The 15,931-nt window shown below is 41.8% G+C and overlaps 1 annotated feature.

Moving 5' to 3' along the window:
• Window positions 15,094–15,594: an enhancer, noted in NCBI's record as "H3K4me1 hESC enhancer chr10:33682030-33682530 (GRCh37/hg19 assembly coordinates)". NCBI's record gives its function as "activates a minimal SCP1, AML or CMV promoter by ChIP-STARR-seq in primed H9 embryonic stem cells {active_cell/tissue: H9 hESC(primed)}" and the evidence as "EXISTENCE:reporter gene assay evidence [ECO:0000049][PMID:30033119]".

Below are 15,931 nucleotides of genomic sequence, written 5' to 3' on the forward strand. Positions count from 1 at the left end.
CCATGCCTTATGCTAGGATTACAGGCATAAGCCACCGTGCCCAGCCAGTGTGACCATCTTGAAAGGAGAAATTACACAAAACTCAGGGTGCTCTAGGGAAGTTTATTCAGAAGTTGAGGTTTTAGCTGGTCCCTGAAGAATGAATAATATTAAAATAGGAGACAAGAAGACACGAGATTCCAAATGTAGAATATCTTCATAGACTTGGAAATCTCAAGGCTCCTACTGAGAAGATGAAAACAAAATTGGTATATCTAGAGCTAAAGGTTTATGAAAGGAAGTTGGTAAGGCCTGGAATCACTAAGCATTGAACAGTGGATCATCAGGTGACAGCTGAGGCCGTTCCTCATATTACAGAAGCAGGAAATGTGTTCCAGGAGCCAGCTCCATCGTCTAACCCTACAGTATGGGGCTGTCCTTCCCCGTCCTATGCCATCTCTCTGCCCCCACTGGATCAAATTCACAGATAACAAGATTTAACACATCATTTCTTAAACTCCTACTTTGTCACCACCACCTCTACTCAATTCCCAATAAATTGGAATATACATAACACAGGAAGCAGGAAACAATAGAAAGGCTTTGAGCAAGGCACAGTGTCTTTGAAAGATGGATTTAGTGAGTATATTTGAACTGGAAGGATCTATAGGTAAATGTAGGCAAGGGGTCTGTGAAGGAATCCATTTATTTATTTTATTTATTATTATTTTTTTGAGATGGAGTCTCACTCTGTCACCCAGGCTGGAGTGCAGTGTCACGATCTAGGCTTACTGCAACCTCCACCTCCCAGGTTCAAGTGATTCTCTGGCCGCAGCCTCCCGAGTAGCTGGGATTACAGGTGCCCACCACCACACCCAGCTAATTTTTGTATTTTTTAGTAGAGACAGGGTTTCAACATGTTGGCCAGGCTGGTCTTGGACTCCTGACCTCAGGTGATCCGCCTGGAAAGAATCCATTTATATGAACATTTCTTGTGTTCCTATGTGATGTGTGCTCTATGTATTATTTCCAATTTAATTTTAAGACAACCCAATTAGGTTGATAATAATATCTCAATTTTATAAACACGCAAACTAAGGCACGATGAGATTTAAGTAACTTTCCCAGTCTCAATTCACTAGCAAGTAAGAGCTGGGGTATAAAACTAAACCTTTATAATGTTAAAGTACATCCCCTTCTTTATTCTTTATTTTTAGGTCAAAAGCAGATGGTTGAGTTAATTATTTTCCTCAGTTCAAGACACATTATCATCTTTGATGTGTGCAGGGCCCCTTTGGAAGTTTTATTTATTTATTTTTATCCTTTTAAAAAAATTCCTATGCCCTGTTTTCATTCCTCTCTTTTCACAGCCAAAAAATTCAGTGTGTTTGATGTGTATTTGTTATTTTATATGTGTTCTTGAAAAATGAGTATTATTATTTTGTGTGCATATATTGTTAATTTATGTAAGTGATATTAATTATGTATCTTCCTCCTTTACTTTTTTTTCACGAAGGACTATTTTTTTAAAGACTCATACATATTTCTATGGATGCTTCTAATCCATTGCTTCTAACTCCAACTTCTGCCCTTTCAATTACATACAATTAATTCCCTAAAGCAAGGGGCAGACTCGGGAGACATCACTCATAAATATTAATTAATCAATTAACATATTAAAAGCAATTCAGTCAACAAAACATTTGTTAAGCACTTACTACCAGACACTGTGTTTAATGTTGAGAATACTGAAATGAGTAAAGTTTAAAACCTAAACTTAGGGGACTGTCAGTCCAGTAGGAGACACTATCATGGAAATAAATAATTACAGTTTAGTGATTTATATGCAGTCATGGGTACGACCTCAAGAAAGAGGGACAGCACAGACAGGGTGTGATTGTTTTCATTGGGAGCACTGGGCAAAATGAGTGAAACGTGGAATAAAAAGAATGACCTTTTCTGAGTTTCAAAGAATGTGTAGGAGGAACGTCCTGAGTGGATGGGTGGGGAAAGGGTGTTCTGGGAAACAGCACTTTCGACAAGAATTGTTGCATTCCCTGTCTTCTCTGGGGCCCCTTAAAGTCCATGTCCACTCACAGGCTCTTAAAACAGCAGCCATGTTTACTCTCCTACTTCCTGAGCTGATAGTCTTGAGGAGGGCCTCTGGTCCCTGCTACACAGCCATCCCTGATCAGTGCTCCAGCAGCCATGCGCATGTGTAGTCTTGGTTAAACAGGTGAGTTGGTCCTGTCTACTGTTTCCCTGGAGAATTTGAACCAAAAGATCCAGGCATGTTGCCATAGCAGTGGTGACCGGAAGTGGAGCTGGGAGATCTTGATGCCTGGTGGTCATCTGCATGCTAATGAATAAACAAAGCGTGGGCTTCCAAGCAAAGCGAGAGAAGAAAGGCTCCCCTGGGTAAGGAGAAACGCCATCTTGCTTTCTGACACTTTTCTCAGCTCTACTCTTGCGAGCTGGATTTTGCTTCCCGTCTTGAGGTCCATGAAGTTTATCTGAGTCTTGATAATCAATATCCCTTATTGTCAACTATTTTGTGTTTCAATTGCTTATTACCCAGTGATGTTGAATAAAGCATGTATTCCAAGGCATAAAGACCCGAGAGACTGTGATCTGTTGACAGAGCTATAATCCCCTTGTTATTGACAGGTATGAAATAGGTGGGTGGGGTTGGAGGAAAAGCTGAAGGAAGAACCAAAAAGACTTAGTGACTGATTAGAAATGGCACACAGAGATAAAGCAAATCTGAAGTTGCAAGCTTGGAAGCCCCAGAAGAAAGGTGGTAATATTGATATAAAGCTAGGGAAATGAATGAATAGAGAAGAATTCAATTTTTAAATACATGAGAAGTCTTTGGGAAACATGTGAACATCAAATGGTAAATTAGAGAAAGATGAGCTTAGATGCCTGCACTAACCTTAGAGAGGAAAAGGAAGAGGACTCAGTGAAGGGGAGTTAGGAATGAGACCAAGAGTGGTCAAAGATGGGGGTTACAGAAAAATATAAAAAAGTAGCTGTTGATAATAGTAAAAAACACAGTCGAGTCCACGAAAATGAGGATTATAGAAAAAAATCAATGCTCAACAGCCCTATAAATCCTTTCATTTCAGAAGTTTTCAGTGCCTTTAATATGCTTCCCCATATCTGTCTATGATCACATGGATATTATCTTGGGTAGTAAATTCCTGGTCTATGGGAATTTGCTCTGTTAAAATTTGCTTTATTTAATACTCAATACAATGCCGTGTGTACTTACCAAATATGTTTTTATTAATAAGACGAAGAAGGTTCTCGTGCTAAAGTTCTCTTGACTGCTAAAATTAGAAAGTGTCAATTTTGACCTCTGTGGCTGTGGGGAGGAACATCTGAAGCCTCGATGTTCAGATGTGACATATAATGAAGCCTCTTCTCTATGCATCCTTCAAGTGGTCCCAGCTAATTTGGATGGGGAATTTTGAGGGAATTTAAATTTGGGGATTTCCCATGTGAAGCATCACTTTGCAATCATGTGCTTAGCTAAAAATTCTCCTTTTCGAGGATCGCTCATGCTAGTGACGCGTTGTTAGTTTGGAGAGAGAATAAAGGACAAGTGTTGCCTTCCTTCCTGTGCCGCAGACTTAACCAACTAATTAAATCCACTTTGCTTTCTGGGCTTATGGTGACTTTGTGTAATTCAGACTGGAATCTTGTCACATCCAGAAGATCTGTCGTTGTCCAGGTTACCATGGCAGCTAATTTTTTTTTTCTTTTTGTAGAATTATCCCCAGCCCTTGGCTTCAGTTAACCACATAAGCAGGTGTATTATTAGCTTAATGAAGGGACCCTTTCTGCAGGCTTCTTCCCATGCTGTCAGGTAGCTGTCCAACTCGCATGTTGTTGCTGTGTTTAGTATCTTATTCTCAGCATCCATCTGGAGCTCTTTTACAAAGCCGGTAGGTTGCGTGCCAGAGAACATCTTGCTGCCTCGGAAGAAAATTCATCTCCTTTTTTTTTCTTAAATGTGACCCATGACATCACATTGTCCTCCCCAGCCCATCCTGAGCTCTGCACTGAGGGGTGGCTTTGTTGCCATCCTAGGCATGCATAGCTATTGTCTGTGCAATGCTTCATTTTGCAAGTCTGTAGCTATAATGCAACATACTCTGGGATCAGTTTCAAAGTCTAACGATTAACACATGTTTATTCATTCCAAATGGAGCCACGGCTGCAGTCCCTGCTGCACACATGTTATTGGGGATTTTTTAAATTGTTGTTATTATTTTTCCTCTCTAGGTTGATTCTTCACATGGATCAGAAGCAACCAGCAATGAACTCCTGAAATCTTTGTTTACTGCCTTTGAGGAACCTTTGTACCCTTGCCGTTTCTCCATGAGGTGTGTCCCCAGATCACTTTCTGGATGGCAGGCAATGGCCGCTAGAAGGTCAGTTTTGTGCCCTGCTTTAAGTGTCACTCTGTATGCATGCTCCCACAGTGTAATGACAGCCAAGTAGTGACAAATGTAGCCTTACAGACTCAAGGCAATAGTGCACACCAGAAAAACACAGATGGGGAAAAAAGCAATTTTTGATTGAATCTAAAATATGGCAGGTAAACATTTAATGACACAAAGGCAGACATTCACAAAGAGGTTAAGAAATTAGGACATATTTTTTTGTAAGCGAAAAAAAGTCAAACATAGGGTTGTCATTATCAGCTACTGCAGCTGGTGCTCACACATCCTTGGGAGGCGTCCCAGAGTGGCATGGTCAGGCTCCTGGGCAGAGATGGTAAACTACTGACCCATTACCCTCAGAATGACAGTGATGTCAGCTCTACTCAGTGACCCAGGGAGACAGCAGCATTAACCAGTATGCAAAAAATATAGATGAAATTTGGAGCAAATTGATTTACTGAGGGATTACTTTTGGTTAAATGATTTTCCCTCCTTTCTGAGCCCTATCCATCCCAAGCCGAATTCTCTGAGCTAAATTGAAGTTTCTGCAAATGCATCCTAGCAGTGGAGGTTAAAGAGTCACTGTGAAATTTATTTCATCCCTGAATTTACAGCTTTGTTAGGCAAAACTATATAAAAACCATAAAAAGAAAGAGGCTAAAAATAAAAATGGAAAAACCAATAACAAACAAGCAATTCCAGCCAACTCTTTTTCCTCTGCTCAAGATGAAATGAAGAAAGTGAGCATGGTATGTAACAACTAATGGTAATTTTCCCAGCCTTAATAGTCTACAAATGATCACAGATAAGGGATATGTACATATCCTAATTTATTCCCCTGACCTAAACATTGCTCTCCTAACAGTCACCTCTTCTGAACCTGCTGCTCTCTCTGATATGACAATCACTTGTAAATCTTGAAAGACAGTTAAGCCGTGATTGTAATTTTTTATACATAGTATCTAACACATTAGGAATGCAGAGTAAATGCCAAGCTATAATCATTTAAATGTCCTTCTTTATTTATTTCATTTCTCATGTTCTGTGTTTGAATGAAGACTCATGGAAACCCTTGTTTTCGCATTTAATCACGCAGTGCCAGGTGGCCCCAGCCCCAGGCTCAAGACAACCATTAGCAGGTTTTTCTGCTAGGGTGGATTCATCCTCTATATACATTTCTGATTGTCTATAAATAGCATCACTTGTGAGGATTGTTGAAATAATTTGTTGCTATAATTATAGTGACATTTCTAGCATGTTATAATCATATAAAACTGCCAAAATAGGAGGATGCTATTTTGGACTTTTTTTTTCCAGTTTAGTTTGTGTTTCATGGAATGGAAGAAAAGATGAGGAATGCCTCTGGTTTAGAGAAGGAGCCACATTATAACAGAAGAGAACAATGACACACAAAAATCAGGAGTACTTCCTTCAGAAGAAAGGCAGCTGGAGCCTTTGAAATTGACATAGTTTTAGTCAAAAAGAAGAAAAGAAAGATCTCCAAAATATACAATTCCATACATGCAAGAGAAGTGAAGACATGTGATGATATTTTTCCAGCTGAAGGCCTTAGCCAAACCAAAGTCATTTTAATTTTTCATAGGCTTTTACATTTTTGATGACAACATCTTGGTTGAGGAATCACAAATGTCTGAAAAAGAAGTCGCAAGGATGGTTGCACTGTGAAAATCTTTGAAAAAGTCAGTATGTTTTGAATTGACATTGTATCTCCACTGTTTTCAAATGTTCAGCCAATGCCAATTAAACAAAATAAAGATGTATGTTGTATTAGTTCATTTTTATGCTGCTGATAAAGACATACCCAAGACTGGGTAATTTATAAGGAAAAAGAGGTTTAATGGACTCACAGTTCCATGTGGCTAGAAAGGCCTCACAATCATGGCAGAAGGCAAAATGCAATTTACGTGGCAGCAGGCAAGAGAGAGAAATGAGAGCCAAGTGAAAGGGGTTTCCCTTTATGAAACTATCGGATCTCATGAGACTTATTCACCATTGTGAAAACAGTATGGGGGAAACCACCCCCATGATTCAATTATCTCCCACTGGGTCCCTCCCACAACACGTGGGAATTATGGGAGCTACAATTCAAGATGAGATTTGGGTGAGGACATAGCCAAACCATATCATATGTATTGATAAAATGCTGTTAGCTAGTGAACAATCACATACTTTGAGGACTGTACCACAGTTGTGGATGTTTTCAAACTAAAATGGCATACTGTATCTACATAAGTTGTGTTGATGGACAAAATTAGAAAATGTCAATGTTTATTTTAGATGCAATTTCTCTTTTTTCTTAGTGCCCAGTGCTGGGACCTACTCATTTGACCTGCCTGATGACACTAAACAACAAAGTGGGAATTGGCTTTCTTGGCATTAATCAAGGTTATAATTTTATATGTATTTGTAGGATCTTTCCCCCACATCTGTACACTCCAAGAAGGTGCAGATCCTGTCTGGTTGGAACTCAGTCATATTTTCAGCAAGGTGACAAGTCATAGGTCATTTTGAGGTGAACGAATGAATGGTGGAACAGGAAGACTTCCAAATAATCCTTGCTCTGAAATTTACAAGTTTTATAAGCTCAGGCCAGCATTTCCCTTCTTGGAGCCTCAGATTCATTCTTTACAAAATGGCTGATTTGGCTTGGAGGCTCTCCAAGGTCCATCTTAAGTTCCAGAAGCCTTCAATTCCATAAATGAATATACAGTAGATGCCCTAGGGCTCTACCACCGCCTCTCTTCTGAAAACTGTTTGCACAACCCGCATCTCCGTCTCACTGCAGCACAACATTCCCTGGAGATAGTCATCTAGGCCAGAGTTAGACCCCAGATCCTAGCTGGACGGAGCACCTGCTTTTTTCCAGGTATTTGGTGCTAGGCCTGAGGACCTGCCATTTGGAATCTGCTTACAGCTGCTCTGTGACCTGCGGATTTGGGGACCCTGGGAGTGACTGCCTCCTGCCCAGTGTGGAGGGCTGGGCAGAGACAGCCAGAAGGCAGAGAGAGAGGAATAAAGCCGTCTCCAGACCAGAGCGGACAGAGCAAGTGGAGACTTCTGGCAGTTGCCATCCCTTGCTGAAAGCTGAGGGTTCCATAAGGGAGCTTGTATACTCATAGTGAATTTCCTTTTTGCCCTTTTTTTGGATGAAAAGTAGCTCTAATTAGCTTTGTTTTGTATCCAGAAACCCAACTAATAACATACATCCATTCTTTTCAGTAGTTAAACCTAGTTTAACTGGTGATTCTGGTGAAGTCTCCTAGACTTTTCAAAGCCTCATTCATAGAAGCCTAAACCCAGTATTTGTTGTGAACAGCATTATCAGTGCCTGTGAGGCAGTCTCTCTCTGGGGTGAACCGCAATTTAGGCAGTCTTTTGTGTTTCTACACAGCAGGAACCTTATAAAACTGGAGAGGCAAGAGTCTTTGACCTAGGATGAGTCCATAGCCCATTTCTTTGCCCCATTTTTAAACAGGTTGGTCTTGCCTCCTGTTGTTGATCTTTGAGTCCTCCCCTGCACACCTGCCTGGAATGCTCAGCTCTTCCTGCTCACCTCCGCAGACTTCCAGAGCCTGGACAGAAGTCACTTCCCTGACAGATATCAGCACAAATCTCTGTCTACCTTTGGTCTCCTCCAAACTGCCCTGTCTTCTTGTCACGCACATCCTAACTTCATATTTCCTTTCCTGATCTCATTGAGAAATGAGAAATCGGGTTATGGGTTATCTAATTCCATTAGCCTCATTATTCCTTAGGCATCTCAGTCCCGGAGAGCTAATGCCATGTCATAGAAGGAGTCGGAAGACTCGGAGTCCACCAGTAACTCTGTGATCTTGAACAAAACCCCTTCTCTCTTGATTTGTAAAATGAGACCTAAATTGCATAATTTGTGGGATACTTCCATCTTCACTCTAGGGTCTATTTCAGATAAAATCCCCTCCCCACTCTCAGTTCTCATCTCAATTTCTTTCTTTTTTCATTTTTATTTTATTTTATTTTTAGACGGAGTTTCACTCTTGTTGCCCAGGCTGGAGCGCAGTGGTGCGATCTCAGCTCACTGCAACCTCCGCCTCCCTGGTTTAAGTGATTCTCCTGCCTCAGCCTCCTGAGTAGCTGGGATTACAAGTGCCCGCCACCACACCCAGCTAATTTTTGTATTTTTAGTAGAGACGGGGTTTCGCCATGTTGGCCAGGGTTCTCTCGAACTCCTGACCTCAGGTGATCCTCCCGTCTCGGCCTCCCAAAGTGCTGGGATTACAGGCGTAATCCACTGTGCCCAGCCTCATCTTAATTTCTAGGTTCCTACCACTCCCTTTCTTGGCATGAAGGGGTGGGGGTCTTGTTTGCAGGTGGAACTTTTCCACTGTGGGTCTCTCGGTTTTATTGTAGATGTTTTAAAGTCTCAACTAAGGTTCCTGACAGGCAGAGGGAAGATGGGATGGGATGGGGGAACAGTGCTCTTCAACCTGGAGGGGCCTGGAGGGCTCAGGCCACTCAATACGTGCGTTAGTATATTTTCCCACATTCTTGTTCCTGTCTCTTTCCTTGTTAGGCAACACCACCCTGGTCTTTTTTTTTTTTTTTTTTTCTTGCCTTATCTTTGTTAAGCTTTCCACATTCCTACTCCATCAGCATGCTTTTGGCTGACAAACTTGAAGCTTTCCCCTTTTGCTTGCTTTGCAGCTATCATCTAATCTTGCAAGAGATGAGAATTCTTGACATGTTTTTGTTAACTTCTTTTGTTGCCACTATGAGCTCCACCTAATTCTGAGACTGACATCCCCCAAGCAGCAGGCAGTGAGGCAAGGCTCTGGGGTGGCTGGCCTGGCCTTGCCACTCTGAGGCCAGTATTAAAACACTGAGTGGTTGGTTTCATTCCCTACATTACCAACTTTTTCTTTTTTCTTTTATTTCTTTTTCTTTTTCTTTCTTTTCTTTTTTTTTTTTTTTGAGACGGAGTCTTGCTCTGTCACCCAGGCTGGAGTGCAGTGGCGTGATCTCGGCTCACTGCAAGCTCCACCTCCCGAATTCACACCATTCTCCTGCCTCAGCCTCCCGAGTAGCTGGGACTACACGTGCCCACCACCAAGCCTGGCTAATGTTTTGTATTTTTAGTAGAGACAAGGTTTCACCGTGTTAGCCAGGATGGTCTCGATCTCCTGACCTCGTGATCCGCCCACCTCAGCCTCACAAAGTGCTGGGATTACAGGCGTGAGCCACCGCACCTGGCTTTCTTTTATTTATTTTTCTAATCTAAATTTTAAATTATTTAAAACAGGATCTCTCTCTGTCACCCAGGGTGGAGTGCAGTGGCATGATCATAGCTCACTACAGTCTCCATCTCTTAGGCTTAAGTGATCCTCTCGCCTCAGCCTCCCGAGTAGCTGGGACTACAGGCATGTGCTACCGCACTCAGCTGATTTTATTTAGTTTTGTAGAGATGGGTCTCACTACATTGCCCAGGCTGGTCTCGAGCTCCTGGCCTCAAGCAAGTCTCCTGCCTGGCCCTCCCAAAGTGCTGGAAATCCGGGAATGAACCATCATGCTCAGCTTTGCTGTCTTAATGAGAGCCAATTTAGCCACTCTGGCTGAAACCCTTCTCTTCATATGACAGCCCAGCCATCAAACATCAGTTGGATCCAATAGTTGAGTATGTGGGCTTCTTCAGTTTCCTAGGCATGGCTGGGTGACCAGAGAAAGAGAAGTGCCCACTCAACTGTCCACCAATTTGGAATTCTATCATTCATAACTAGCATTTATATTACGGCAGATTTTGAGCGATAAAGGTGATCACACAATTGCAAAACATGCTTTCTGTATATTTATGACCAGGGTTTTTTCATGCCTCTCTCACTGACTTCCACCCCTGGTCCTTGTCAAGCTTCTAAGAGTTTCTCAGTGCCTTTTCCCCCAGAGCTTAGATCATATCCAAGGAAAGATTGAAAATAAAGTAATTCACTAAGTGGAAAAGAGGAGATTTTTTTATGACTATCAGTTTGCAAAAACAAAATTAAAGATAATACAGGTTCATGCAATGTCACGGATAATGACAACAATCTAGATAACAGCCAAGAAAAGGCAACTTTATTGCTTTCTTGCAAACAAGCCAAGAACAATAGTTCATCAAGTTTCCACTATATTCATAATGGAGCATTTTATGATCTTCTAAGGAGAAGTTTGATGAAATGCAAGACTGTGCTTTAGATAAAAATGTCAATTTTCATTAAAATCTTTAAGTTTATTTGTCACACTTTCTTTCTAAATTCCAAACTAATTTCTTTGGGGCTCATGTCTCTATTAATTTGCTTGTTTCTTTTGTAACATAAAAGCTGTGACATTTAGATTTAAAATGACCATTGTTTCTGCACTGGATGTTCTTGGCCTGTTATTTCCTTCATAATTTTTACTACGGCTTTTGGGGATTCATTCACTTAGTCTTGGCAGTTACTGAATCTTCTTGTCCTTTGCAGCTATAGAGATGCCTCAAGTTGGCAAGAAAGAAAAGGAAGTCTTTGTGCCGTTGAATACCAAATCTGGTCTCTATTACAGTGCCGAAGGAGTGCTGTTTGGAATGACATTGGAAACAGCCAAAGAACATCTCCAAGACCTTCTGACGTTGATGGAGAGAACCTCTGACTGAATCCTTGGTGGCCAGGCAGGCAGGGCAGCTCATTCTGAATGAGTAGAAATCTCATTTATAATGTTCAACCTAGGTAACATGTTTTAGAAGACAACTTAAGTCAGAGGGAAAGCCTATTATGGCCAAAGCCTGAATATTTGTCCAGTCGGCTGTTAATCCAGTCAGCTTTGATGGAAGAATTGGTAATAGGAAGATTGTTCTTTTTGGCTTGTTGGGCTGGAGTCAGAGAGAGGGGGACACCCACATGGCCAGAAAGCTGAGATGTCATAGCTAGATAGTCCTCGCAAATGCCACTTTACCAAACAGCCTTCCATTATGATTGTCTGCAAATGAAAGTTAACACTGCTACACCTGGCAAGGAAATTCTTTGCAGAGCCATGGGTGTAGTTACCACACTGCACTGCAGCAGTTTGGGAGAAGATGCTGAATTAGGGTGAACCTCCAGTAGCCTCTTCTGGGCTTCTTCATGGAAAGGAAGTGAGAGAGCTTCCTGAAGCAGGAGATGGGACAGGTGCCAGGCAACAGAAGAAAATCAGGCCCTGCACAATGGATCACGCCTGTAATCCTATGGCTTTTGGAGGCTGAGGCAGGAGGATTGCTTGAGCTCAGGAGTTTGGGACCCCATCTATACAAAAAAAAATTGGCCAGGTGTGGGGTGACATGCATCTGTAGTCCCAGCTACTCAGGAGGCTGAGGCAGGAGGATGACTTGAGCCCAGGAGTTCGAGATTGCATCACTGCACTCCAGCCTGGGTGACAGAGCCAGACTCTGTCTCAAAATAAATAAAGAAAAGTCAAAAAAAGAAAATCAGCGATTTGGCCCTACCAGGCCAGGATGCAGGAACCCTGGCTGGGAACCCAAGAGGCAGTGGGAAAAGCAATGTTAGGGTTCCAAGCCCTTGTGGAGTGAGTGCTCTGCTCCACTGCTGGTCTGAGCCAACCCCCTGTGTTCATGGCACCTCTACTTTGCGTTCTGAGAGCTTGGGCTTGGCAGTGACCTGGATGAGGCAGAAAAAGGGAGACAGGATTGTGGGACAGGCACAGAATCTGGAGACAGGGCTACTATTTGCTTTCTTTCGAGGGAGGAGCACAAAAGCCAAATATGAAGTCCTTCCTTCCAATCTTCCATTGTCTGAATTGAGCTGACTCACTGCAGAGTAAACTCATGGATAGCCTTGGTTTTTCCAGCATGAACAGCTGGGGGCAACTTCACAAGGGTGTGAGATTGGGGAGCTAGAATGGTGCCTCCAGTGTGTGTGAAGACACTGGAGAGTCATATTTACACCGTCACGAGCTCTCCTCCCAGAAAATCATCACGTTTATTATCTTGCCAATTAAACCTGCATAAATGCATGGGCAAGGTAGGAGAAAAATGGAAAAAATGCACAGTTCATTTCCTTCTCTGGTGCTGTTTACTCTACATGAGATATTATTAAAAGAGAAAGGTGGTAAACAGGCAGAAAACTGCCCTGTAACACCCACAGGTCAACCAAAAAAGTCTGGTGTGATTTTAATCTCAGCAATTTTTGAAATTTAGTGATGAAGAGAAATGCTGAACCCCCTTTCTGGCGTGTTAAATAATGATAATGTATGCTTTAAAAACTCATTACAACCATTAACATGAATAACTAGTGATTTCAAATTTGAGTTAAATAGTTAGGCTGCTACATTTATGTTCTTTGGGTGTTTGAATATAATTATTTGAGGATTAAATTGAGACACATCGATCGGTCCCAGAAATAAATAACAGGCTTGCTTGCAAAGCCAAAATTGGAATGGAGAAATGAGAATTCTTAGAGAAAATATCTGTTGTATGAATGAATGAATAAAAAGGAGATATTCCACACATTAATTACAGGAAGATTTCAGGAAAGGATTTGGTTGAAGTTTTTAAGACGATGATGACCGTAATAGATGATTTTAAGAAACACTTTTGATTTTGTTTCTTGTTTTTATGATTTCTAAGATTGGAGAAGGAATTTATTAAAAGGACAAAAATGTACTTTTATTATTTAGTAATCTTCTTGATTTGGACAAAAACTGATGAGAGGCTACCTTTCTTGAAATAAAAGGAGTATCTAGGATGCATTTAAACATTATCTCAAGTATCAGTTACTTAGATATTAAATCAAAACAAACCCACTGCAGTATCCTTCCTTCCTAATAGACAAATCCTTAGTAATTTATATTGTATCCAGAGAAAGTGGAATTTATCATCAAAGCTAAGCAAATCAGTAACTCTTTGTTTCGTTACAGAGGTAACCTTGGATTTGGTGGTGTTGAATGTATTTAAACCTCAAGATCAGTTGGCTACATATATTTTAGGAAAAAAGAAAATCCTTTCAATTAAAATTTTTTACAGTGTAAATGTGTTTTGAGTGATTTAAGTTGGACCCCGAAGGTTGATTTTAATGTACTTTTTTTATTAAGGATTTCATTGATGTACAAGTTGAGGATACTTTTGGCTGAAAGTGCTATTGAGATGTTAGGAAAATATCAAGCAAGGTGAGCAAAATAGCCAACTTGCAAGCAGTATTCAGAAGGTCTCACCAAAATAAAATCATCAAAGAGGAGCTTTGAAATGCAATGTGGAACGGAATGCAGGAGGCATTTTCAAAGGCTTTCTGCCTTTGGACTCACAGACCACCAAAAGATTAGCAAGATTCTGATGTACAGGAATGTTAGGAAGTTTCTGGGCTCACTCATCCCTCAGAGACTTAAAAAGATGACAAAAATTCAAACCGTCAAGCCATTTTGTAATATAAAAAAGAATCCAATCCATCCATGCTTGTAATTTCCATAAATTAGCCTTGTAGACCAGCATGGTGTTTTGTAACATCGTGGAGCAATGCATTATACAAATTAGACAAGGGCTCTGGCCAAGAACAGTTTTAAGGAAAATGACAGATCCTTTGCTGTTTCTCGCACACTGAGCTCAGATCTTCTCTGTCTGACTAGAATCACAAAGAGGAAACTGAATATTTTATCCAAAATATTATTATAAAACAGTGCTACAAAGGCCCTTCCCAAGAGACAGATCTTGCAGCAAATATCAGCAAGGCAGGAGGAAGGAGAGGGTCCTCATAGCCTCCTGTCTCTGTCAGTAACAGGCAGTCGGTAGGACTTGGACTCCGAAGGCATGGGCTGGATTTGCAAATTGCATTTTCAAAGGAGCAGGGAGATACAATTAGGAAGATCAATGTATGAAAACAGCACCTGAGGCTGCTGGAGTGGAAATGCAAAATTGTGCTGAGGATTCAAGAACCGTTCTGACATGGCTGTTAGAGACGCTGAAATGTGATTTAAAAAAAAAAAAATTTGCCATTTCTCCACCAGAACCCCCAGCTCTTGCCAAGAAATCACCTCTCTGAGCTTCTATTTCCTCCCTTTGACTCTCCCCTCTTCCTCATCCTCATTCTCACCTCCATGCCTTTGAATACTGTTTGCCTCACCTAGACCATCTATTCCCCATGCCTTCGGATGAATTCTAACAATCAACAACTATTCACTATATGCTCTGTGCAAGACATTCTGCTTGACATTTAGAGAATTCAGAGATCTCCAAGACCCAGGCACTTCCCTTAAGATGTTGAAAATCCCCTTAAAAGGATAAAAAACCAAATGTATAAGAGATAACTAGAAACAGACACATAAAATCTCCAAATGTGCGGGAGTGAGACAGAAATTCAGAAGAGAGACATTATCACCTGGGAAGTCAAGGAGACTTCATGGAGGTGAATTGAACTAAGCCCTGAAGGCAAAGCAGGATTCAGGTAGGTAGAATCAGATAGGGCTGGGGATGTGGGCTGGCATTTCCCGCAGGAGCTCGAAGCAGCATAGGTAGGCAGGAAGGATGAAGAAAAGAGATTGGGAGAGATGGCGTTAGAGAGGTTCAGGTGTCTGGAGCAGTGAGTAACTTACTTGCAGGGCTAATGGACTAGCATTTTTACATTTTGCTAGGTTACGTAGTAAGTGAAAGGGAGTTGCTAGAATGAAGGGGTGTTTTAGGAATAATTTACAGGACCCAGTGAAACATGAAAAACAGGGTCCCTTCTTCAAAAAGGAGGGAAAAAATTTCCATTAAGTTCCTAAAATAGAAAGTCAATATCTTTTTTCTTCTGCAGTCTCTCTCCACCTATCACTTTGTTGTTGGTTTTGTTTTGTTTCCCTATTTAATGTCAATTTCCTTGGGCACAAGACGCTTGCAGGAAAAGTGCAGTCTCCCATGGGTACCTGGGGACCCCACCCTGCCCTAGTCCAGTGTGCTTTGTCCTGGCCGACCATGGGGAAGTTGAGCCAGGCATCTTCCCTCCCCAAGGTGTGCTGCTGCAACCCATGGCAGATGAGTGACCTCAAGGGTGTTGCACTTGGATGTGCTGGGTACTTGGATTGGGTCTAGTAAAAGGCTTACCCCTGCCAAGTTGCCTGTCCAGGGCTCTGTGATACAGGCAGCCCAGGTCAGGGATGGCAGAAGCCCTGAGACTCCGTAGGGCACGTGTCCTTCCCGAAGCCTGTGCCTACCCCCGCTGAGAGAGGAGGGCAGTGGCTATTGCTGCAGAAGCAAGGAAGAGGAGGTCAGTGGAATGCAGAAAACCAAGCACAGGGGTCCAGCAACCCATGAGAGGAGACAGAAAGCTGCAGGGAGGCAGGGTTGCATGTGAGCTGAGGCTCCAAGTCCCAGTGCATGCTCCAGTGTCCCACCAGACTTCAGTCACAAAGCACAAGGTCAAGGTAAAATTGTTCAGGATTCCAAGGCAGTGATCACAAAGCATTAAACCCCAAATGCCTGAGTTTGAGGTCACCTGTGACTGTAGTGGCTGCATGCTGTCAAGCTGGCCTTT

This window comes from Homo sapiens, chromosome 10 (genome assembly GCF_000001405.40).
Source record: "Homo sapiens chromosome 10, GRCh38.p14 Primary Assembly".
In the NCBI taxonomy this organism is placed as follows: domain Eukaryota; kingdom Metazoa; phylum Chordata; class Mammalia; order Primates; family Hominidae; genus Homo; species Homo sapiens.